At 46.0% G+C, this 25691-nt stretch overlaps 1 protein-coding gene and 1 long non-coding RNA gene across 19 annotated transcripts in view; one reads left to right on the top strand and one right to left on the bottom strand.

The window, feature by feature from the left end:
* Positions 1–25691, top strand: part of TRAPPC9 (trafficking protein particle complex subunit 9) — a 730855-nt gene that overhangs the window by 234321 nt on the left and 470843 nt on the right. For all 18 annotated transcript variants that reach the window (NR_164662.1, XM_011517326.3, NM_031466.8 and 15 more), the window contains one exon: positions 2676–2800. Coding sequence is in view for 17 of the 18 variants with exons in the window: in XM_011517326.3 (XP_011515628.1) it covers positions 2676–2800 (125 nt within the window). In the remaining variant the exon portion in view is untranslated. The remainder of the gene's footprint in view (positions 1–2675; positions 2801–25691) is intronic.
* LOC124902029 (uncharacterized) lies at positions 899–24160 on the bottom strand. Its single transcript, XR_007061118.1, has 2 exons — positions 12108–24160; positions 899–2307 (listed from the first exon to the last, which is right to left on the bottom strand). It is a non-coding gene; the product is annotated as an uncharacterized LOC124902029 (long non-coding RNA).

Below are 25691 nucleotides of genomic sequence, written 5' to 3'. Positions count from 1 at the left end.
AGTGGCTGAGCTGGTCTGAGTTGTCTAGCTTGTTATGAGGAGTAGAATCTTCTGAAGTTCATTTCATGCCTATTCAGCCTGAGCTGCTTGTGGGACATCAGGTGGACCTTTGCTGCCCACATGCAGTGCTTGAAGAGGGGCCAGTTGGGCACCTCCATTTTCTTCTAAGTGCAGAGAGGACCCTGCTCTTAAGTGCTTGATCACAGTCTTCATACGTGTCTTCCATAGGCACCACCAACAGAAACAGATCAGTTTGTCATTTTTCTTATTGTAGATGCACAATGTCTGATTCCTTCATGTGCTATTTTGGGCATAAGGTGCCATGGACTTTTCAAGTAGACTATTTTTTAACGTAAGATAATTTAGCTTTTGAAGATTTGAAGCCTCTAAGTAGAAAATTGCTTAATTCTTCTTTACCCAGTTGAATATTGTTTGTCATCCTGAAAATTGAACTACTTAAGGGGACATACCTTAGCAAATGATGCTTAAGAGAAGTGTTTTTGTTTTTTTTTTTTTAAATTATGAACTATTTCTATTATGCTTGGTTAATTGCATATTTTTGCAAAGAGATATTAGGCATAGGGCCATGGGCCTAAGTTATTGCGAATTTGGAAATATACATTTTGTGTCAATTAAAAGTAAATACTCTTCATCTTATCACAAGAAGCTTTAGTTTCTTAATAAGAAGTTACTTAGATGGGTTCGTTTGAGATATGCAGCCATTGAAATTTTCTTTCCCAACAACTGTGTTAAAGCGAAAAGGATCCTAGGCTTAGAATCAAAAGCACCGAGTGTGAGTTTCAGACTTGCCACCCGTCTACCCATCCATCCATCCAATCAAGTTTACTAAACATCCATTCATGTGTGGTACGATGCCTAGGATCAATGACTGCCAGTATGACTGCGAGCAGGTTGTTTATTGCTGTTCTTTAAAATGGGGACAAGTTTCATTATCCTCAGCAAACTAACGCAGGAGCAGAAAACCAAACACCGCATGTTCTGTCTTACAAGTGGAAGCTGAACAATGAGAACACATGGACACAGGGAGGGGAACAACACACGCTGGGGCCTGTTGTGGGGTGGAGTGAGGGGAGGGAGAGCATTAGGAAAAATAGCTAATGCATGCTGGGTTTAATACGTGGGTGATGGGTTGATAGGTGCAGCAAACCACCATGGCACACGTTTACCTATGGAATAAACCTGCACATCCTGCACATGTACTCTGGAACTTAAAAAGAAAGAATAAATAAAACGAGGGCAAGTTTAGAAAGCATAAAGTGTCATACTGATGTGAGTCCACATCTTACCAACCTCACTTTCTACCATTTGCTCTTTTGTCTCTGCTGTTGCATGTATCTTAAGTCAAAATCAGTATGAACGTGATTTCTTGCACAAGTTGCCTCTGGTGGTTTGTTCTCTTGGCCTGGTTTACACTGGAAGTCTGTGATACTCGCCATACTCATAGGTAGACTTCTCCCGCATGCCAGCTGGGTTCTGTTAGGGAGCTGCAGCTACTTGAAGATAACTCCTCAGGAGGCAGTATCTTTACGTTCTTGAGAATATATAAAACTGCAGTCAAATATCTCATTCATTCCGCCAGGTCTTCTCTTCTGTTAAATGGTGTATCATGCAGAGGCCTTGGAGACCAGTGCAGACTTTGACATTTCCTCTTGAGTGCTAGGGGCAGGGTGTGAGCCCCCTTTCCTCAGGAGACTCTGCGAGCTGTGTGGGGAGTTGACTTAGGGAAAGGAGTGAAGGCAACGGGGGAGAAGAGCCAGGAGGAAAACTACAGTGACTCTGAGTTGGTGCGAACCACGAAAGCCATCCCTGGACATACTCTCAGAGCTAGCAGGATTTCCTTTTGGGTTGGACATGCGACGTGAGATGCAGAGAGGACTTAAAGATGATTCGTGGGTTAGACCCGTCAATCGATAGATACTGTTAACAAGTAAGAAAAAAACCCAGATGGCAGAGTGTGGCTCCTCGGAGGTTTAAGTAGGGTCTTGTGGCAGAGAGTGGTGGCTGCTTGAAGCTGGGTGAGGAGGTAGCACTTAGACTAAGGTCAAGCGGCAAGAGAGAGCTGGCTGCACGAAGGGAGGGGAACTCATTCCAGCCTGAGGAGCGGCTCAGCAGAGGCCCAGGAGAGAGATGGGCTCTGCGTGGTCCAAACGCAGAGGGAAGGCTGGGGCCTTGGTCATCACATCCAGGTGGTAAGGAGCTGTCCTTTTTAAGGACTGATGCACTCTCAGCTTTTACTCATAGTAGATGTGAATATGTGCTTATGGAGGACACATCAGGCAGCTGTAACTGATACAAGGTAGAATAGTCAGGACAGAAACTGGCATGCTCCTTACAGTCACAGTTTTTGAACAAAATCCCCTACATAAACAAAAACAAAAACAAAACCAGCCTGGGCAACGTGGTGAAACCCCACCTCTACCAAAAATACAAAAATTAGCCAGGTGTGGTGGCGCACGCCTTTAGTCCCAGGTACTAGGGAGGCTGAGGTGGGAGGATCACCAGAGCCCAGGAGGCAAAGGTTGCAGTGAGCAGAGATTGCACCACTGCACTCCAGCTTGTGCGACAGAGCGAGACCCGTCCCAAACAACAACAACAACAACAAACCCCAAAACCAAGCTGACGTGTTACTTATGATTTTTGTTCTTATTTTGTAGATGGAATCAGTGTGAGTGGCTTTCCCCTGTCCAGTCCTTTTCGGCAGGTCGTTCGGCCCCGAGTGGAGGGCAAACCTGTGAACCCACCCGAGAGCAACAAAGCAGGCGACTACAGCCACGTGAAGGTGAGTTGGTATGGCAGACGGCATCTGCCACGTGCCGTTCGGGCTTCTGCAAAGCCGTTTCTGAAGCACAGCTCTGAGTCCTTTTCAGAAAGGAAAGGCTATGTGTATTTGAAAGCTGGATTCTTGGTATTCTTTGTTCTTGGACAATGTTTTGGAAAGCCGTCACAGTGAAGCTTGAGTGCATTGTTTGGTGTTGCAAACTCTTATGTCCTTGGAACACGGAGATTCCGTGGGCTGAATCCAGGCGTGCGGTGATTAAAGCAGACTCTCTCCTGCCGTTTCTCTATTCATTTGAAAAGTTTATTTATTGCATACCTCAGTTCGGATGTTTACCCTGTACATTTTTCTTAATCTTTTGGCAACCCTTCCCAATTGTTGGTTTGGAAGCACCAAGGAAGCCAAGACAGATATGCCGGTAGCAAGTGAATGTCAGTGCAAAGCTACGTGCCGCGGGCTTGTAGGCCAGCAGTGAGCAGAGGTGGCTGCTGGCTCCGTGGAGAGGCCTACACAAGTGCTCCGGGGTTTTGAGTCTTCAGCACATGGGAAGCTCTGGCTGTTTGAGCTGGCCCAGGGACAGCGTGTAGAGCAGGAGGACTGCAGGGCCTAAGAGCTGTGACTGGGCTGCAGGCGGCAATGTCACTTTCAGGCACACTTGTGTTCAGGACCAGCCTTTGGGATGCTGTTTACAGTCCTCATGCCAAATTTAAGAGGGCAGGGACTGGTTAGGAACATCAGAATCGCTTGGCCAAGATGCTTGTGAGTCAGTGATACAGTGGACTTTGAGGCATTGGAGCTGCTGTCACTCAACCAAGAGGAGGGGTGGAGGAGCATGGGGTGCTATCTGATGAGGTCATGGCAAGAAGGAATAGGCCAGTTCTGGTTGATGGAGGTCATGTCAGTGGATTGAACTTGGAAGGAGCTAGTTTTAGGGGAAGAGTCCTCTCCCCTTTTGGGCTCTGCAGTAAAGAAGGGGGTTGTTGGTAGCGGGGAGTGCCCCATTCCTGGAGAGCTTCTGTTTGCACGGCAGCTTGGTTACTGTGTTGCTGGGCTCTTGGGTTAGCCAAGGGGACTGGTGTGGGAGAAGCTTCCCAGCAGAGGCAGCAAAGGCCCCAGAGTGCAACTGCACGGCACATGCACGGAGCTACCAAGTACGGGAGGGTGCTGTCTGGTGGGCTTGAGGCAGACTTTCTTTGCATGTCTCATAATTTTTTGTGGAAAGCTGGATCTTTTAGGTAATGGATCGTAGCAAGTTGGAGGCTGAGCCCCACCACCCTCCCCTGGCGCTGCGTGTTGCTGTTCTTCTTGTTTGTCCATCAGTTTTGCAACTTGCCTTGACTTACCTTCGTGGAGTCTGTTTTCCTCAGTGTGTGACGTCTCTGCTTTGTTGGTGATTTTCTCCTTCCTGTTTTTACTGCTTGCCTGGATTCCCAGGGCGTGCCCCAGGTGCCCTGGAGCTTTGTGGGCAGCCAGTGTCTGATTAGAGGTTGTGCTGAAATGCTTCAGTTCAGCAGGCCTTCCACCATTCCCCGATGGATCTGCACGTGCCTTGGGGATTGCTGTCAAACTGCAGGGCTGTTTCTTTCGTCTGAATTCACAAGGCCTCACATTGAGCCAGGGTCAGTGGCTCATGGGGGCCCTCTCTGGTTTGTCCTGAACGTGTGAGGGCTTGTGCATGTGCACAGCTGCCCAGGTTTCCAGCGTTGTGGGACCAACAGGCTCGTTTGCCCCGTGTATAGTAGCAGACCCATGACATGGAGACAGCAGGGTTTGCAGCGAAGAGATAGTTTAATGACAGCAGGAAGCCACACGAGGAGGTGGGAGGAGACCCTTAAACCCATCTCCCTGAGGAATTCTGGGCTGCGGGTTATAAGGGGGTCGTGGAAGGTAAGGACCTGAAAAGCTGGGGTCATTGGTTGTGGTGAGGGGGATGAAACATCAGGATGTGGAAACTGCATTCTTTGATGAATTAACTCTCCGTGAGGTCCCTCAGACACCTGGCATAAGTGGGGTCCTTCAGGCCAGCAGATGTCGGTAGTTACACTGGTATGCGGGACCGGAAGGACTATCTCAAAGGGAAAACGTAACGTTTTGTAACGTTCAAGCGGCTATCGACGGAGCTCTTAGGGGAACTAGGGTCTTGGAGCAAGGTCTGTGTGATTCTGGGGCAATTCAGGCTCCGGCAGCGCTGAGGAAGCAGGCCGGGCAGGCTGCCCTCGCGATGATCGCCGAGTGTGCTGCAGGCTTTTTTGTTTTTCCTTCTCCCCTTCCTTTCTTCCCTGATTTATTGTATAAAGTTTATAGAAACGGTTTCACTGGGGTAACTGGGGTCTCACCAAGGCCTTCTGTGCTCTTTCATTCACTGGCTCTTCCTGCTGAATTTCTGGCGGGTCTGCTGTTTTATCATTTCCCCAACTAGTTTTGTGACTTTAGGCCAGCTGCAGTGTTACCTTCCCTGACTGTTTCCTCCTAAAATCCAGTTTTTTTTTTTCTTTTAATTTGAGATGGGAGTCTCGTTCTGTCACCTAGGCTGGAGTGCAGTGGTGCGATCTCGGCTCACTGAAGTCTCTGCCTCCTGGGTTCAAGCGATTTTCCTGCCTCAGCCTCCAGAGTAGCTGGAATTACAGGCGTGCGCCACCACACCCGGCTAATTTTTATATTTTTAGCAGAGACGGGGTTTCACCATGTTGACCAGGCTGGTCTCGAACTCTTGACCTCAAGTGATCCACCCACCTCTGCCTCCCAAAGTGCTGGGATTACAGATGTGAGCCACCACACCTGGCCTCCCACTGTTATTTTTGACAACACCCCTGGACATGTGTTTTCCACCCTCTGATCCAAATAAAGTCAGCCTCTTCCAGCAGGTAGCAGAGCAGCAGACAGTCTTCTGCTTGTCTCTCCTGGCCAGGTAGAACTTGTGTGCCAAGGAGTTGGGAGTAGCAGGGGCAGTGGAACCAGCCCCTGTCTAAAATGCCACAGTCTCCCTTGCTCTTACCAAGATTAACGAGATTGTCATGAATAAATGCTTCTCAATTTGTTGTATGCCTTTGGTCAGTTTGAACATCTTTAAATGGTTGTTCTTGATGACTTTGTCCATTTGCATCTTTGCTTTTTGGGCAGAGGTTTAGCCAAGCTTCCCACTAAGCAATTCTGGAAATCCCACCCCTCAGACCTATTTACCTTCTGGTTATTCTTTCAGAGCTGGGGATAGAATGAAAAATGCTGATTTGGAAAGATGTTCCTTTGGGCCTACTAACATCTTAGGTGTTTATTCCTAAATGCTGGTGGAGTAGTGGAGAGGTTCGAGTGTCGTGGTGGCGTCGTGCAGCTCTGCTGGCCGTTTGCTGTGAGACCAGCTGCGATTTTCTGTATAGATTATTGGCACGCTTTTATCTGAGCACTTGAACTCCTTCTAGACTTTCGCCATGACTTTTTTTTTTTTTTGGAGACAGAGTATTGCTCTCTTGCCCAGGCTGGAGTGCAGTGGCGCGATCTCGGCTCACTGCAACCTCCACCTCCTGGGTTCAAGTGATTCTTGTGCCTCAGCCTCTGCAGTAGCTGGGATTACAGGCGTGCACCACCATGCCCAGCTAATTTTTGTGTTTTTAGTAGAGATGGGGTTTCACCATTGTTGACCAGGCTGGTCTCAAACTTCCGACCTCAAGTGACCTGCCTGCCTTGGCCTCCCAAAGTGCTGGGATTACTGGCATGAGCCACCGTGCCTGGCTCGCCATGGCATTGAATATACTAGCTTGCTCACTAGTGTGGGCCCTTTCACGATCTGTGTTCCTTGTTACGGTAGGGATTCACTGGCACAGGCAGGCCCCGGGAATTTTGGGGAGCAGGTGTTTACATGTGTCTGTAAACTGTTTTGACACAGCTGTAGGGGGTATATTTATTTGTATTATGCTGTAAGTCCAGATGCGGGGTTATAGAATCTTTCGTGGGAAAGGAGCCTGACTAGTGTCCCCTTCTGGTGTTACTCCTCATGCTTAGATCCTGCCAGAGGCCGTCCACTGCTACCGGCACCCTCTCATTGCGCAGCCTGTTCTCATCCTCAGACTCCAGTCCCTCACAGAGTTTACTTTCAACCCTGTGCTGCTTCGTGTCTTCCTCCCACCTTCCTTGTGCCATTCCAGACTTCCTCCCGAGTAGGACCTCCTCAAGGCCACAGAGGATGTCCTTGTTTTGCCTGGCCATCGCTGTATCACTCCATCCATTCTGCAGTGGACCAGATGTGGCGCTCTCCCTTAAGCCCCTAGCAGCGCTGACTGCAGAGGCTGGGTTCAGGCTTCCTTCTGACCCTCCCTCACTCTGCCTCTTTGCTGAATTAAAGCACAACGTATATTGTGCTCCAGTTGTGAGTCAGTTACGGTGCCCCGGGGTTGGGACACAGTGATGGATTTCAGGGGCCTCCTTTTTAGGAGCCCTCGAGTTGGGGGCTGTCATACAAGCCAGTAACTCAGCCTTGTCCACTGAGGACCGTGTTAAGCAGCGTGCCGTGTGATGGGGAAACAAGGGTGCATCATGGCTGTCTTGACTTCATGGAACTCCTGGGCTGGTGGCTAAGATACAAGTAAATAAAACAAGAAAAAGTGGTTAGAATACAGGTGATCCTCGTTGCTATGGCTGCACGGAGGAAGTCGAGGAAGGCCTGTGAGAGGAAGTTGCACTCAAGTGGAGTATTGAAGGAAGAAGAAGCTGGGGTGAGCTAGCAGGCCAGAGTGGAGAGGGCATTCCCGAACCTGCGGCTGGCAGGTGCAGAGGCCCCTGAAGTCTGTGTGTGTATGGCATGCTGCTGCAGGCCTGCTGTCCTGAGCACGGGAGCACGGAGAGGGCTGAGAGGAGACAGGCCAGGCTGCCAAGGGTTTCAGAGGCACGCGGAGTTTGTTGGTTCCTTCCTTTGCTTTGTGTTCCACTCATACTTCTTTTGGGGGGCATCTCTCACATTTGAGGTACTCTGTTAGACAAGAAGAGGATTTTTTCTGTGTCTCACAGGATAGGCTCTTACAGTTTAGGGTAACATTTCAAAATCTAGGAGATGCTCTTCACACTTGGTTGGGTCTTGGTGCCTGTGGCATGGATTTTGTTTTCTTCAATTGAGTGTTGCAAGGGTGAATGTGCTGTTTTTCTTTGGAATCATTATAAATGTATATAGATAGAGATGAATGTTCGTACATGTATTTAAATGTAATGATTAAAATATCATTACCGTTTACCGAGGAACTCTTGCATATCAGGCACTTGCATCGAAATTGTCCTTTTGGATTCCCTTGAGAGTTGTTTGAGTAGGTGCTATTATCCTCTAAGGAGAAAACTGAGGCTCCTTGAGGTGATGTCACACTCTCCAAGTTACCCACTTTGGTCTCTGTCAGTTACACTGTGACACCTTCTTCTTTCACTACAGCTTTTCTGAATTTTACCTGTGGACAGAGTCCCAACGCCTCTGTATCCTGCACTCGAGGCCTTTGATGCCTTCCCCTTGGACCATCATTTCATCGGTTCTCTGTCTCATTGCTGCCTTGCGACCCCCGTCTGCCCTTGGAGGCCAGCCACTTTCCTCGAGTGGCCTGGGCACCCTCCTCCACGGCTTTAGCGTGGGAACTGAGAGGAAGAGAACTGACGTTTATGGATTGGGGTCTGCCGGGCAGGGACTGTTTGGGTGCTTGACATTCCCAGGTTTCCTCAATCCTTGTAAATATCCTATGAGGTGAGTGGGGAAGCGGAAGTTTAGGGAAGACTTGCCCAAGTTCGCCGCGTCTGTGGGTGGTGGAGTCAGGGCATGAATCTTTGTCTTTTCCTTTTTTTTTTTTTCGGAGATGGAGTTTTGCTCTGTCGCTCAGGCTGGAGAGCAGTGGCGTGATCTTGGCTCACTGCAACCTCTGCCTCCCGGGTTCAAGCAATTCTCCTGCCTCAGCCTCCCAAGTAGCTGGGACTACAGGTGTCCGCCACCAGGACCAGCTCATTTTTTTTTGTATTTTAGTAGAGATGGGGTTTCACTGTGTTGCCTGGGCTGGTCCCGAACTCCGGAGCTCAGGCAATCCACCTGCCTCAGCCTCCCAAAGTGCTGGGATTACAGGCGTGAGCCACCGTGCCCGGCGCCTGCCCTCTGTGTCTCTTCTAATAATCTTCATCCTGTGGTCCCACCCTTAAGGAGGACAGGATCTGATGGGAAAGGTCCGTGAAGGGCCTTCTAGGTAAAGGTGCTGTGCCACCCACGGAAGGAGCGTGGGTGCGTCCTGGGTAAGAGGGAGCAGTTGGGTTTGCCTGAGATCCATCAGTAGTGAATGTGGTGGATTTCAAACCTGTGCAATCATGCGGCATTTTCTGGTTGTCGAGGTTTGTCTTCTGCGGGACGGCTGAGCCTCTCTGGGGACCGGAGCGGGAGCTGTGCAAGTGAAGTGGCTGACAGTGCTGTCTGTGGGGACATCTATTGCTGTAGGGGCATCTGGCACCATGAGCTTGTTACAGAGCCCTTCTCCCCGAAGCAGGAATGATGTGATTTAATTGGAATCGTGCTAAACCTATAAAACTATCACCGAGGAATGGTGTAGTCATGGAAACAAGTAATTCAGTGAAAGCTGCTCCTAGGGAGCACCCCGAGAAGTGGGAAAGATAACATGTGTTTCTCAGGTTTTCCAGAAAGATGCCTTCCTCCATTTAGCTAGAGTGACTGTGTCTGTCCACGTTCATGACTGTCTTTCCTGCGTGCCTCAGGAGGAATCTTCTAGGGTTGAAAATAGGGACTGTGTGAATTGGATGCATCTTAGAAACAATATTTATGCAAGCCAGCAAGACAGTCCAGCTTTTCTGACTCTCAGCATCCCCCTCTGTAAAATTGAACGACAATGCTTCCTTCATAGGATTGTTGGGAGGCTTAAATGATAAAAGAGCCTGGCAGGGGAAAGAAAGAAGGTTGGACCAAGTTAGGAAATAATTCATTGGAACTTCATTCTTGTATGTAAGGAGGAAAATGAGATTTGGTCAGTGAGTCCAGGTCAGTCACAGTCCTGCTGGTTGTTAACAACAAGAGCAGCTCTGGACTAGGCAGGGGTGTAAGGGCCTCTGGAACAGGTAGATGTCGGGTCCCCTGAGTAGCTGGGAGTCTGGTCTTTGCCCACATCAGCTGTGGGCCTTTGGCCAGGTACTTAGTGCTGCCTAGCCTGGCTTCCCCCAACTGCAAAGCCAGGCTGGTGTCTACCCTCTGAGTTGGATATGACGTGCCTAAAACATGTCATCGTAACCAGAACATGGCAGGGGCTCCATTGAGAGCCCTTCTGAGAAGGGCCCAAACTTGGTGCCCACATCACGGACTGGGGCTGCAGAAATGCCCGGCAACAGGAGGCTTTTCCCTGAGTTGGACTGTGTGCCGTGTGGCACTAGAGGTACCCATGGCTTTGCCTGTTGAAGGCATCCAACTTATGCACAGCCTTCAGAGCTGCATAGAGATGTGGGAGCCAGCTGAGACCTGGAGGATAAAGCATTCCAAGTGGCTGGAACGACTGTGAACAGTCAGGGAGCGGACACCAGCATGCACGGCTGCAGCCATTTATCGTGGTGTGCTCTCTGGCTCTGAATAGATTCTACTACCCTCCATGTGCAATACTGCTCTGTAAACACTCCACACCTGCTTATAGCTTGCTGGAAAGCAGTTTTGAAATCCTAACGAAACTAGTTTGCCAGGAGGCGGGGCCAGGCCTCCCTTAAGCTCTGTGCATGGTTGGCTTTGGGGAGCCTGTTGGTTCCTGCTCCCCCTTGTCAACATCTTATCTCTTAACATTTGAGCAGGTAGGTGTAATAGCTGTAGCTTCATTCATGGGAAGCTCCTGTGGGAGCCAGAGGTTGTGCTTCACTTTAAGAAATTAGAAAAAAAAAATGTAGATTAAACCCAAAGTCAGTAGAAAAGGAAATAATAAAGATCAGAGTGGAAAACAATGAAATAGGAAACAGAAACCCAACATAGACAAAGCAACCAAAAGCTTATTTTTGGAGAACAGTTAATGAAATTCATCAGCTTCCAGCCAGATTGATCAGAGAGAAGACACAAATTAACAGTATTAGAAATGAGAGAGTTGGCATAACACAGATTTTATAGATATTAAAATGATAAGAATATATTATAAAAAGTTTATGCTAATAAATGTGAAAACTGAGATGATGTGACAAATTCCTTAGAAGACACAAAATACCAATGCTTACACACAGATATAGACAACCACAATAGACATAGCCACTTAGGAAACAGAATGTTTTGTTAAAACCTTCCCATATGAGATCATGAGGGCTCAGAAAGAAAATTGAAATGGAAAATATAATAAAATAAAAAAGTCAACAAAAAAGAAGATTAGAAAGTAAAAAAACAAAAAAACAAAAAAACTTTTTTTTTTTTTTGAGACAGAGTCTTGCTCTGTCACCAGGCTAGAGTGGTGCAGTGGCACGATCTTGGCTCACTGCTACCTCTGCCTCCTGGGTTCAAGCGATTCTCCTGTCTCAGCCTCCCAAGTAGCTGGGACTACAGGTGTGCGCCACCATGCCCAGCTAATTTTTATATTTTTTGTAGAGACCATGTTGGCCAGGATGGTCTCGATCTCTTGACCTCATGATCTGCCTGCCTCGGCCTCCCAAAGTGCTGGGATTACAGGTGTGAGCCACCATGCCCAGCCAAAAAAAACTTCTTAAAAAAGACAAAAGAAAAAAAACGCCTTCCCATAGAGAAAATTTTGGGGCCAGATGGCTTACTTATGCATCTTACCAAACACTTAAGGGAGAAATAATATGAAATCTATGTAGACTCTTCCTTCAGGAAACCTAAAAATGAAGGAATACTTCTTAAGTCATTCTGTGAGGTCAACATTTCTCTGATACCAAAACCAGGCAAAGAGATCATGGGGGAAAAAAATCCCCAAAGAGTACAACCCAAAGCACTACAGACCAATATCCCTCCTGAACACAGATGCAAAAATTTTAAGCAAAAATTGAGCATCTACTATTTAACCCTATGTAAAATATTGACGGACTGGGGTTTATCTGGGGAATGCAAGGTTAGCTTAACATGAGAAAACCTGCAAATGTAATTCTGCATATTGGCAAACTGAAAATGGAAAACTATGTATGCCATCTCAAGAGACAGAAAAAGCGTTTGATAAAAACCCAGCATCTATTTAGAATGAAAACTCTCAGCAAATCAGAAACAGGATGGAGCTTCCTCTGCCTGATGAAATGCATCTACCAGCCCTGGGCAGCTACCCCTGTCCTTCACCATGAGAGGTGGCCTGCGCTTGCCTGAGGCCAGCCATCCGCATCTGCTTACCTGGCTGGATGAGGCGTGTCTTCTTGCATTGCTGGTCCTGAGCGCAGGCTCTTTGCTTGGCTGGGCCTTCTTGCTCACTTCCTTTCATTCATGGCATGCTCCTCTGTCCTCCTGGGTGAGCTCTGAGGTCACCTGGTCTGCTGAGCCTTCCTCCGCAAGTGGCACACCCAGAGTCAGGCCCTTCTTCCTGTGTCCTCGTCTGCTGTCCGTTCCCACCTGGATGGTAGCACCTCCCACACTGTTACTGTTGTCCTTTGCTTATATTGCTGAGCTCCCCATCACTGTAAGCGCCTCGTGGCCATGGGCTTGTGAAGCATGCCTTCTGTACACATTTCTTGACCCGGATATTCCAGACAGTGAGGCCAGACAGCCCCTCTCCATGGGGTTGCCTGAAGATTCTCTTCATTAGTGAGGCAAAGCAAGGCAGTAAAGTATGTTTTATCTCATTCGATCAGAATAAAGCTTAACTCTGGGTTTTTTGGGATTCTAACAACATTCAGATACGTCATGTAAAATACGTTACTTTAGCTTTTAAAATAAAGAATTGTGGGATGTTTATGAAGTTTCTATATACTTTTATATTTTTTTCTTAAGAGACAGGGTTGTGCTCTGTTGCTCAGGCTAGAATGCAGTGGTGTGATCACAGCACACTGTAGCCTTGACCTCCTGGGCTCAAGTGATTCTCCTGCCTCAGCGACTCAAGTAGCTGGGACTACAGGTGCGTGCTACCACACCTGGCTAAGTTTTGTATTTTTTGCAGAGACAGGATTTCAACATGTTGCCCAGGCTGGTCTCGAACACCTGGGCTCAAGTAATTCACCTGCCTCGGTCTACCAAAGTGCTGGAATTACAGGCATATGCCACCATGCCTGGCCTTCCAGCTAATTTTAAAAAAAATACTTTTTTTTATTTTTAATTTGTTGTAGAGATGTGGTCTGGCTTTGATGACCAGGTTGGTCTTGAACTCCTGGCCTCAAGTGAACCTCCTGCCTTGGTCTCCCAAAGCACTAGGGCTGCAGGTGTGAGCCACCACACCCAGCTAACTTTTACATTTTAATAATTACAGTTGCAAATGGACCAAAAGAATCTGTAAAGACAACTTAGGAGCAAATGTATTCAAGTTTTTAAAAAAAAAAAAACCCTAGGATATACAACAAATAGCATTGCTTCTTAATCAAGCTGTGTTACAAATTAAAAATGGTTTCCACGAGCCCTTCGGGGCCTGGGGAGCAGCAGAATGGCTGTTCCCATCAGCGGCGAGGAAAACACGTATTATGCCAGTTACTCCTTGAACACTTACAGCAGCCTGATTTGTGTGAGGAGCATGGCCACAGGCTTGCATAAGACATGCTTCTGCCCTTGAAAATCTTGCAGTAGAGCCGGGGGAGAGAACATCCACAGAAGCAATGGTGCCCAGCGCTGCTCTTGCCGTAGAGGTGTGCAGTTGGGACTGTGGCCTTCCTTGGGGACAGGCAGTGCCTTCATCATCTGTTTGTTCCCAAGACAGCCATGTAATCGTCGGTTTGCTGGGTGGGAAAGGGGGTGCGGGTACAGGGAATCCAGGAGAGAAAGGGCTTAGGCAAGGGAGGGAGATGAAGCTAGCGGGGGCGTGGGGGGACATGGAAGAGAGAAGGCTTCCCGGAGAACCGGCTGGGATTCTTCAGGCAGACGGGGGGATGGGGAAGTCCAGAGAGAGTGGAGGAACCCCCCACTTCCCTCCAGCAGCAGCAGCCGCCACAGTGTCCTGTCCAGCATTTTCCGATGCTCACTTGGTGCTGGGCCCTGCGCCTGGAGTTTCCTCTGCATTGACGGTGCGCGTTCACCACAGACCTGTGAGGCGGGGGTCCCTCCCAGCATTCCTGTTTTCTAGATGAAGACAGCGGCGTGGCCCTGCTGGGTGCCTTGCCCTGAATCACCTCAGTAGTTCAGCGGCAGAGGCAGGCTCGGCCCTGGGCCAGCTGATGGCAGAATTCACGGTTCCGGCCCCTCTGCTAGGCTGGCACGCCCAGGCATGGCAGGCAGCCGAACAGGCCGAGGCCAGAAGAAGAGCGAGACAGAGGCTCGGGATGTGACGCCGAGGAGATTTAGCGCGGTGACAGTGTTTACAGATTACTTCCCTCATGACTACAACTTCCCATCATTCAAGTGGAAATGACTGAACAGCTTAGAAAGATTAAGTTAGCCCAAGGTCAAGCAGTTACTAAGTAGAAGTTAAAATTCAAATCAGGATATGTCTGAATCCAAAGTTCACGCTGTTTCCGTGATATCCTGCTGCCCCTTTACGTATAATTTCTAAGTTTCCCAACTTATTATGGGATACAAAACATTCTGTCTCAATTCAAACCATATTTATAGAGCAGTGGAGTATAAACCCTTTAGCCTATCTGACCCTCAGTTTCCAATCTGTGAAATGCAGATAATAATACTTTCTCCGGGGCTATTGTAAGGAGTTAAGTTTCTGCTATTAGCCTTGGTAGATAAGAAAAGCTTACAAAATAGCAAATCCAATTCAGTTCCAAATTATTTCTAATCTGTCCCAGTAATAGTTACAGAGACAGGGAATTTCTTTCCACAAAGTTTAAGCATAAAAGCTTCAAAGGAATCCTTTAATCTGCTCAACAATTTCAAAACTTAATAAGAAATGTAGAAGTAAGAGATGCAGAGAGAGTCTGCTGCATGTGGAATTCTAACACAGATGTTAAGGACAGAGAAGGGGGACGGCCTGTTCCTTGAGTTCCTGTCCTTTGCCTTGCATGATGATCACTGTCTCCAGGAACCCCTGTGACATTTCATGTAATCCATTCCTTCAGCAAACATCCAGTGAGCACCTAGAGCATGCCCAGTTCTGAATGCTGGGGGCGTAACAGTGAACAAGGCGACGTTCCTGAGCTGACATCCAGCAGAAGAGACAAGCAGCAAACAAATACCACGTGGACAAACAAGGAAAGACACGGGAGTGACTCCTGCTCGTTGTTTTAGGCGGATCGTCTGCAGAGGCCTCACCACAGAGATGCCACGGAAGAGGCAGAGTGTGTCCACGGGGCCCCTTCAGGGCCTATGTCAGTGATGGTTTGCTGTGCTGAGCAACAAACACTGTCTGAACAACACCAACACCAACTGCCAGCGTTTTAAATGATGGTCTCCCCTTGGTATACACGGGGGATTGGTTCCAGGATCTTCCATACACCCAAATCCACACATACTCTAGTCCTGCAGTTGGCCCTGCAGAACCCCTGCATATGAAAAGTTGGCCCTGCAAATATGTGGGTTTCACATCCCACCAATACTGTGTTTTTGTTGCACCTTTGGTTGAAAAAAAAATCTGCTTCTAAGCAGACCTGCTCAACTCAGACCCATGTTGTTCAAGGGCCGATGGCATGTATGTGTGGTTTCCCCAGTAGACTTTGTGTCCATGGATCAGAGTGGGATACCACAGGAACCTCTGCACTTCCAGTGCCTGCTACAGGGGCTGACATGGAGCAGGCTGTCATTAAACGTTGGATGAGGGAACAGGAAAGCAAATGAAATGACCTCTAAAGAATTGCTCTGCTCTTCCAGTGTGTCTTCCTGTTGATCATAGGCTGCTACATCTGATCATGCCAGCAACTTAAGGCAGTGGCATCTGCGTTAACCAGAATCAGCATCACCTGGAAGGCTGGTTATGCCACAGCTTGCTGGACCCCATTTGCAGAGGGCCTGGGAGTTTGCATGTAGAATAAGCCCCCAGGTGCTGCCGCTACTTCTGGTGTGGAGACCACAGTTTGAGGACCACCACCTTAAGAGATGAAATATTTTTCAATTTGTTTTGACATTTTTTGTTGTCTTTAGGACTGGACCACAAGCATCCTTACGGACACTTCCGGTGTGTCTCATAGAAATGGTACATGGTAAGCTCTCTCAAAGTAGCTTAGTTTGGGGTGCCTCAGCAACTAACTGATAATACCTGAATTCCTGAGAAGGAATTTTAATAAACATTTGAGATTAATTTTTTTTTTTTTTTTGAGACAGAGTTTCATTTTTGTCGCCCAGGCTGGAGTGCAACGGTGCGATCTCGGCACACTGCAACCTCTGCCTTCTGGGTTCAAGCGATTCTCCTGCCTCCGCCTCCCAAGTAGTTGGGACTACATGCGTGTGCACCACACTCGGCTAATTTTGTATTTTTAGTAGAGATGGGGTTTCTCCATGTTGGCCAGGATGGTCTCAAACTCCTGACCTCACGTGATCCTCCCGCCTTGGCCTCCCAAAGTGCTGGGATTAAGGCATGAGCCACTGTGCCCAGCCTGAGATTAAATTTTAACATAAACATCCAAATAATCTAGGCATTGACATGCTTATTTGGAGGAAGCCTAGAAACACCTGTCTAGCAAATGTATAAAGCTGCCAGCCCCGCTTCAGTATTCTCCCAGGTTATGATTCGTGGCAGCAAAACACCAGGATTCTCAGAAACCCTGAAATCTTTGCAAGACGCTGTCACCGCGAAGCACCAGGTAGTTCATCCGCAGGGTCCGCAGGGACTCTGGGGAATCTTTGCAGTGCTAGGTGGGACTCACGAACTATTCTCTTAAAACCAGCCGCCACCAGTGCGTTCAGCATGATCCATGTGAAGACAGTAGGAAAAAAACCAGACAGTGGAAGGAGATGTGTGCTTTTATTGCATTTCTTGCTAAACAGGAAAATTGTGTTAGATTTGCTATTGAGAATGACTGACAGAAAGCCAATATGTTTGCTTTGGGTAAGGACATTTAGGTGACATTATTAGTTTCTAAAAAATCCAAAGCAGTTTAAATAGAGACAACGTCAAACAAAAAGAATTCTATCCCCCACCCCTAGAAATATCTCCACTACTGAAACAGGCAGAATGAAGGAGGGAAAACCTTATATTTATTTGGCTTCAAACAGATCTGTAATGAACCTCAGCTTTTTACCCGCTTTGTTAGAGTGGACGGGTTACTTCAGGCCATCTTTGAAATGGAGACCATCCTTAGTATGTCAACAGGAGTTCTTATGGTGAAGGAGGTTGCACAGAACCCAACTGCAGGGAATGCTCCGCTTCCTGAGAGCTGAAGAGACGCACGGCTCCTGCCTGCCTTCTCCAGGTGCAGTCTCATCATCACTGGGCGGAGTCGTTGGCACTGTCCTTGTCTGTCACCCCACTAGACTTCAAGCTCCGTGAAGGCAGAAGTGCTTTCCTTTCATCTTTCCCCATGCGTAGCAGACTGTCTGGCACATGACGGGTGCTCGACAGATGCTTGTTCCCACTAAAAGGGTCACAGACGGCTTGGGAAGGAGGCAGGCAAAAAGGCGCAGGGAGTGGTGGAAAGGCATTCTAAGCCAAAGGACCAGCCTCAGCAAAAACAAGGAGAAACGGGCTTTTTAAATATATATATATATATATGTATGTATATGTATGTGTGTGTGTATGTATGTATGTATTTGGGGCAATATTGTTGAAGTAGGGCCATAAAAGATGAGGTCAGAGCATGTAAGGTGAGACCACAAGTGAAGAATCCTGAATGCCACTTTAAAGATCCAGACTCCTTAATGCAGACTGTGGAGCCACCTTAAGACCGTAAGGGAGTAATAACACTGTGACTCACCCCTAGCCAGAATTTATTAGTTTTGTAAATCAAAACTTGAATATCCTAGATTTTTTTCCTTGTTCTGCCAAGGAAGACAGGATACAGAGAATTTTCTGACATTCATTTCAAGGCATAAGATATCCTATGATAAAGAAAATTATTGCTGTATAAATAATAGCCCCTCAGGAAAATTGTAAGACAAGAAAGAAAAGCAAGAAAGCAAACGTAAGACTGCAAGCAGAAAAAGAATTAGATGTTGTTTAGTCTTTGGCTGACTTTAAAAGCAGTTCTGTAACATAAAAGATAATTGTTTTATCTTTCTGAACCTTATAGTCCTAGTTTACTGATAATTTTTTTGAAAAATTAGGAAAGGATACTGAATTTTCCCGAATGCTTATTATGTATCTTTTGAGATGATCATATTTTTTCTTTCTTTCTTTGTTAATGTGGTGACTTAGATGGATTGGTTTTAGAATGTTAAACCAACCTTGCATTCTGGGGATAAACCTTACCTGGTCATGATGTAACATCCTTTTCAGCCTCAAAACAAATGACACACTTAGGAATAAATCTGACAAAATGTGTGAAGGATCGGTTCAGTGAGTCATAGGGAAGATGGTGAGGGTTGGAAATAAGACTGAGGATGAGGGGGTGGGCCAGAGTGGCCACTTGTCAGAGACTTCTCCTAGGTAATGTCAGTAATACTGTGTGGGAATCAGCATCTGGAGAGTGAGGTGAAAGGACAAGAATGGTTGCATGGTTGGGCAGATGGTGACTCTGGGTAGCTGAGATGGAGACTGTAGGAGGGGTGGTGAGCGGGAGCCCACATTCGAATTAGGTTGCCCAGGCCTGCCTGAACTAGCTGTCTGGATGGCAGCTGAGCTACATTTAAGAGGGCTCCTGGGTGGGGATTCCTCCTCCTCATCTGTATTCTCATTAATCCATTTGAGTTGTTCTCTTTGATTTTTAAAATAGTTCATGTAGTGCATTCATGATTTAAAATTTCTTGTTTTCAAGTAGGCCGTGAAGTGGCAGTCTTCTGAGAATTTCTGTTTATTTAAGTTAAAGTTCTTAATCTTAACGATTTCCTCTGGATCAGAGCACTTGAACATTAATTCTGTGTTAATGAGATTTACATAGCACTCTCTTTGTAAATGATGCTTTTAGTGATGAATGTTTCCAATCTTTCTACATATTGTAGTTTGGGTTCTTGTTCTTACAAAGCAAAAAATAAATGAACACATTTACTGTAGACTTCAGGAAATGGTTTCCTGTATCATGCAGTATAAACTTCTGATAACTTTTGCTTTGTCAAATGACTTATCCATGCTTTTGGTAATCTTTGTATCTTGTGAATACCAGTGATATCTTATTTAACTCCTGGTGACACTAAGAATTTTCTAGGCAGCATAAGTTATACATTAGAATCATTGTAAAGGAGATGTCAATATTGCTACTTAATGTGATCACATTGTATCTACTTTGAGTATTCCTACACATACTTTCTTCCTTCTTTTTCTTTCCTTTTCTCTGTTTTTAAACTGACATCTCCGTAGATGATTTTTAAATTTCTTGAGCAAGCTCCTCCAGCGTAACCTTCTGGCATCTGGCCTACATCCTCAGCATTTTGATGAAATTCCGTTCACTGGAATTGTCTGATAAGATTTCCTCTCAATAAAATCCAGTGATCTTTTTCTCACTGACCTTGTTCATCATTTCTATTAGTCTGTTTTCATTCCTGTAAAGGAACACCTGAGACTGGGTAATTTATAAAGAAAAGAGGTTTAACTGGCTCATGGTTCTGCAGGCTGCAAGGAAGCCTGGTGCCAGCATCTGCTTCTGGTGAGGACCTCAGAGGCTTCCAATCATGATAGAAGGCAAAGGGGGAGCTGGTGTGTCACAGGGAAAGAGCAGGAGCAAGTGAGTGTTGGCAGGCTCTTTTATTTTTTTATTATACTTTAAGTTCTAGGGTACATGTGCACAATGTGCAGGTTTGTTACATATGTATACATGTGCCATGTTGGTGGGCTGCACCCGTTAACTTGTCATTTACATTAGGTATATCTCCTAATGCTATCCCTCCCCCCTCCCCCCACCCAACGACAGCCCCCGGTGTGTGATGTTCCCCATCCTATGTCCAAGTGTTCTCATTGTTCAATTCCCACCTATGAGTGAGAACATGCAGTGTTTGGTTTTCTGTCCTTGCGATAGTTTGTTCAGAATGATGGTTTCCAGCTTCATCCGTGTCCCTACAAAGGACATGAACTCATCCTTTTTTATGGCTGCATAGTATTCCATGGTGTATATGTGCCACATTTTCTTAATCCAGTCTATCATTGATGGACATTTGGGTTGGTTCCAAGTCTTTGCTATTGTGAATAGGATGGCAGGCTCTTTTAAACAACCAGCTCTTACTTGGACTCACAGAGTGAGAACTCACTCATTACTGTGGGGAGGGCACCAAACCATGAAGGATCCATTCCCATGACCCAAACACCTTCCACCAGAACCACCTCCAACATTGGAGGTCACATCTCACCCTGAGATTTGGAGGAGACCAAACATCCAAACCATATCATCGTCCATCTTTTCACCAAGTTTGACAGCACTGGCCACTGTAATCTCCTTTATGTACCTTGTCCTCCTGCAGTTTGTCTGTGTGGAGGGCTTTCGGGTTTTCTTGATGTTCTTAGTCTTTGGAGCTTAATACCTTGGCCTCATGTGTGATCCTTCCACCACTCCTGGTACCCAGCCAGTGGGGAAGTTCTGCAGACTCTTCCTTAGAAAGGACTCTTAGATGATTATGATGTTCCATGGCCACACAGAGCCACTGCCTCGGCTGAGTCCTTCTCACTTCCAGCAGAATTCGTTTGATCTCTTCCAGCTGGTCTCTTCTGTCTCTTCTGCGGAATTTACCTTGTGCTTGTCTGTTAGCTCAACCTTCCCGCAAGCACCGATTTTCACATCTTACTTCCTGCTAGGAAACTTGCCATTCATCAGGTGAAGTTCCGAAGTCCTCACTTGCATTATGAATGACAAGCCCTCACACAGGTGGAAGCATTCAGCACTGTCACTGTCCTGGCCTCACTGAGCAACACTGTGAGCCTGTTAGGACACAGGGACTTTTCAGACAAACAACAAATCGTTTATCATTACAGAAGCACTATCAGCAAAGACTAGTGCAGGAATACCGTTGAGACAAACAAAAATGAAAGGAGAGAAATTTCACATTCCTCCTGCCCAGAGATCACGACCATGAAGCCAGAGTGTATATCACTCAGGATCATTTAATGACCTGCGTATATGAATACCTGCGGGTGTGTTTTCCCCGTAATTCAAAATTAGATGACTATAAATACTATTTTGTGTCTTGCTTTGTTCAACTAGTGCTATTCCATTTTCTGTTTCAGTAATTTTTTATTGCTTCTACTCTGCAGATGATTTTAAAATTTCTCCCATTTGATCCCCAGATTTTATTATAACAAGGTAGTCCAAACCAGTATACAATACAGGACCACTCATTGCATTGCATTTTGCTTTTAAGTTTGTTTTCAGCTAGCACCACTTTTTTCTTTTGGACGCTTGTTGAAGAGACCAGATCAGTTGTCCTGTAGAATGTCTTACCTTTTGGATTTGTCTAGTTGTTTTATTGGATCTGTTTCTCCATCCCCTGATTTCCCTTAAAGTAGAATTTGTATGCAAAGTCTTGATGAATTCACACGAAACATTTTTGCCTAGAATACTTCATAGGTGAAGTTGGTACTTCAGGTTGCATTACCTTAGAAATAGATGCCCAGTATCTGGCTGTCCCACCACTAGTGAGGTTAAGATTGACCTCTGGATAGGGCAATGAGAGCCTGAGCCCATTGTTTTTCTCCTTGCAACCAGAGAATATTCTGAGGGTCAATACTTTGGCAGTAGTACAAATATGTCAGTCATGCATCTAATGTTTTAAAATCAATGGATAATCTTTGCCTGATTTAATAATGTCATTCAAGTTCTATGAAAGGTTTTTCTCTATTATTTTTTCTACTTTTATAAAGTGGCCTTTTATTGTAAATTTTAGAACTTTTAGCTCAACCACTGGGGCTATTTAATTACCCAGGAATATAGTGCCTGGGTAAAAACAGAAACAAGATGCTACTTTTTTTCCCCCTTTACTTTCTAATTTCAAAGTAAGGGATTGTTTAAGAGCTTCTGCAGAAGTTGAGAAGTTGGGTTTTATTTCCCTTTTCTGTTTTTGAGTATCATGGTGGATGCATGGATTTCCGTTGATTCACTTACAGTCATTATTCTGTTTGTTCACTTGTCATAATTTGGCCAAAGAGAGCTTTCTTAAGTTGGCTCTCATGCCATTTTGACATGACTTACTAATCTTTGAAAGCCTCATTGCTTTTTTTTTTTTTTTTAATTACAGAAGATGAGCTTTTATCTCACCAAACAACCGTAATGTGTTGATATCTCCATTTGGAATGAGGAAACTGAGGCTTAGAGCAGATACTTTGTAAACTAATGTGGCTAATAAATGGCATTGTTGTGGTGCAAACTCATGTGTGCCTGACTCCAAAGTCTTTCCCACGATGCTGGAACCTTCCACATTTTTTCCTTAGAGCCCTTCCCAACCTGCCATAGCTCTGATGGTATGTCAGAGCTGAGCCTGACATACCAGGGCCAGCTGAGCCTTCTCGCTCCCTCTCGCCTGACACGGCACTGCTGCTGTGTGCTGTGCCAAGCTTGGTCATCATCCTGTCCCCCAGCCTCTCCCAGTCCCTGGCTGCTCCCCTTTTCCCATTCTTCCCTTCATAAGTTCTAGGATGATAATATTGACTTAGTGTTTGAGTGGGAGTTAGATGTATTATATAAAAATGTCCCCAGCATCAAAATGACTCAGAGTATGACTGTATTTTTAAATTAAATATCAAGACCTATCATCTGACAAAACATATGAATGACAATGAGATATAATATTTGAAATTAGATCCGTTCTGGGGAATCAAAGATATTTTGTAACAGTATACACAGTAGGCATTGGTAAGTAAATGAGAACTCTATGAGCTGTTTTCTGGAAAAGTTTAAAATAAAATTTGTCAAATATCAAATGATTGTTATAAAAAAATCAGTGGAGGCAGTATCCTTGGAAAAATCCAGAAACAGTTTTGTTTGTTTGTTGTTTTTTACATCAAGGCAGATCAGCAGGTGAACAGTGTTTGGGAAATATAGGACGGGAGACCTTCTCTCAAGAAACTACATAAACAACTGTAATTAATTCCATTGTGAAAATTGCATTCTGGTTTCCAATATCTATACCTCAGCTTAGAGGAAGCAAACTGGCTGGACCCGCAGGTTTCTGTTTTCTCTTTCGGAATATTTTGCTTTAGGATGCCTTAGACAGTCACGTGCTTCCCAGCCGGCCACAGTCCCGCCTCTGCCTGGCTGTCCACTTGCCTCCGTCACACTCTTCTTCCCCCTCTGGACTCTTAGAGGCCTGGGTCTGTGAGCCCTGCATCCGGCGTTAGAATAGCACGGTGGTGACATGCTACTGGAACACAGGAAGAATATTACATCTGTTTTCATCTCATCCTTTTGAAAAGTACCTTTTTATTTCAGAATGGTTTTAGATTTACAGAAAAGCTGCAAAGATGGAACAGAGAGTTCCCATGTATCCCTCATATCAGTTTTCTCCATTGTCAGTGTTGTACATTACTAGGGTACATTTGCCACACAATAAGAAACCAACGTGGGTGCGTCACTGTGAGTTAAACTCTATCCTTGATTCAGATTTTACTCATGTATCCGCTCCTGTCCTTTTCTGTCCTGGGTCCCATTCAGGACGCTCGATGACATCTATCCTCCGGGTCTTCTTAGTGTCTTCCGGTTTATGATGGCTTGTCTCTCCTTGTTTTTCGTGACGTTGAGAGTACTGAGGAGTGCCGGTCAGATATTTTGTAGATTGCGCCTCATTTTGGGTTTCTCTGATATTTTCCTTATAGTGAGAAGGAGTCGACGTGCCCTTCTTATGCCGCCGCCGCAGGGGTGCCCACCTGACTTGTTGGTGATGTTGACCTTGATCGCCTGGCCGGGGTCGTGTTTGCCAGGTTTCTCCATTGGAAAGTGACTCTTTTTGGTCCCCTTTCTATATTCTCTTCCTGGGAAGCAAATCACTAAGTGGAGCTCACACTCTAGGGCTGGAGGCAGGGGCTGGGAGGATGGGAACTGAGCTCCCCCTTCTGGTGGGGGTGCATCTACAGACATTATTTGGAATTCTTTACGAAGGTCTTGTCCCGGTTGGCCTTGCTTCTAGGCCCGTTCAGTGGATAGCGCTAGGAAACCTATGCATCTACACATCTCTGTAATTATTTCTGTATTTATCCATCTGGTTAAACATGAGTGTAACTGAGTCCAGTCCCACAGGGCTCATTCTAGCTTTCCTGTCTTGTTTATCTGTAACTTCCCTCTCCGGCCGTGAGAAACTAGGTCCCACCAGCTACTCTTCGTTGACTTATTTGACTCCAGTGTGCATGTAAAGCACTTTCAGAGCTGCTCCTCTGCACCCTGTGAGAAGCAGCTTTACCAACTAGAGTACACAGTTTCTGTGGCATTCCTTTTTTAAAAAAATTTTTATTTAAAAATTATTTTTAATTTTTGTGGGTATGTAGTATGCAGTTCCTTTTATCTTTAGCCCTATGGTTTTCAGTCAAAACATTGTCTTCCAAAGTTACCATCTCATCTGTTTTAATACTTATTTTTGCATTCTTTTAAAAATGTACTAATATATACTTTAAATAAATGTGCCTATTGGGGATGTATTCTCAAAAGTGTTTTTTTAAGCTCATAAGAGTCTGCAATAAAAAAATGGAAGATCTGTGGATATAGATTGTGGTGCGGGTGATGCAAAAATATTTACTTTTGACTTTGGGATGCTTAGTGATTTATTGAGTTGAGCAGATATTTATTGAGAAAGCAGCATGATGCAGTGGAAGGAAGAAAGGCTCTGGGGGCGTAGGAGCAGATATTTATTGAGAAAGCAGCATGATGCAGTGGAAGGAAGAAAGGCTCTGGGGGCGTAGATGGCCCTAGGTTCACATTCCAGCTTGATCACCTACGAACTGTGTGACATCAGGCAGGTTACTTAACTTGTCTGCATAATTATTTCCTCCAGTGACGTTGGTTAATATGCATTTCACAGGATCCCTGTGAGGTGGGAAGGTCTAGACCTGGATTTGTGTCTTTACATGTATCCAGATACCAGGGATAGTCCACACTCTTGCTACTCACAGTGTGGTTTACCAGCTAAGAACATCAGCACCCCCCAGGAGACCTGTCGGAAATACAGACCCTTAGGCCCCTCCCAGACCTCCTGAGTTTGGAATCACATTCCACAGACCCCCAGGTGACTCAAATGCATGTTCACGTGCAAGAAGCCCTGCTTTGTACTGTGCTTTGAGAAGCTGTGAGCCATACAGCTCCCCAGCTCCACCCATTCTTCTCTCTCTCTGAATTCTCCTGGGGGTCCAGGCCTCAGCTGCACTGTTGCTCCCCCCAGGAGTCCCGCACTCCCCGCTTGCCCTGTGCCGGGTGTTGCCGCGTTCAGCCTGCTGTGCTGGCATCATCTGTCTCCCTCTTTCCGTCTCACTGTGGTGTCCTTCATTGCAAGCACTGTATCTGGCACGTTGAATGTGCTAATAAATATTTGCTGAATACAAGAACGTCCTTGGTGCTAGGCCAACTTCTCAGACTACCAGAGGAGAGACATGGTTCCTGCCATTCAGGAAATCTCAGCCCAGAGAGGAGGCAGACTTGGAGTGGACAGTGACACCATACGATTGTAACCACCCAAGGGGTTCACTTTGCCTGCTGCCTAGACAGAGCGGATTCATTAAGACAGGGGAATTGCAATAGAGAAAGAGTAATTCACGCAGAGCCAACTGTGCAGGAGACCGGTTTTATTACTACTCAAATCAGTCTCCCTGGGCATTCGGGGAGCAGAGTTTTTAAGGATAACTTG

This window comes from Homo sapiens, chromosome 8, assembly GCF_000001405.40.
Source record: "Homo sapiens chromosome 8, GRCh38.p14 Primary Assembly".
In the NCBI taxonomy this organism is placed as follows: domain Eukaryota; kingdom Metazoa; phylum Chordata; class Mammalia; order Primates; family Hominidae; genus Homo; species Homo sapiens.
Note: the sequence above shows the minus strand (reverse complement) of the source record. Positions and strands in the feature narration are given on the sequence as shown.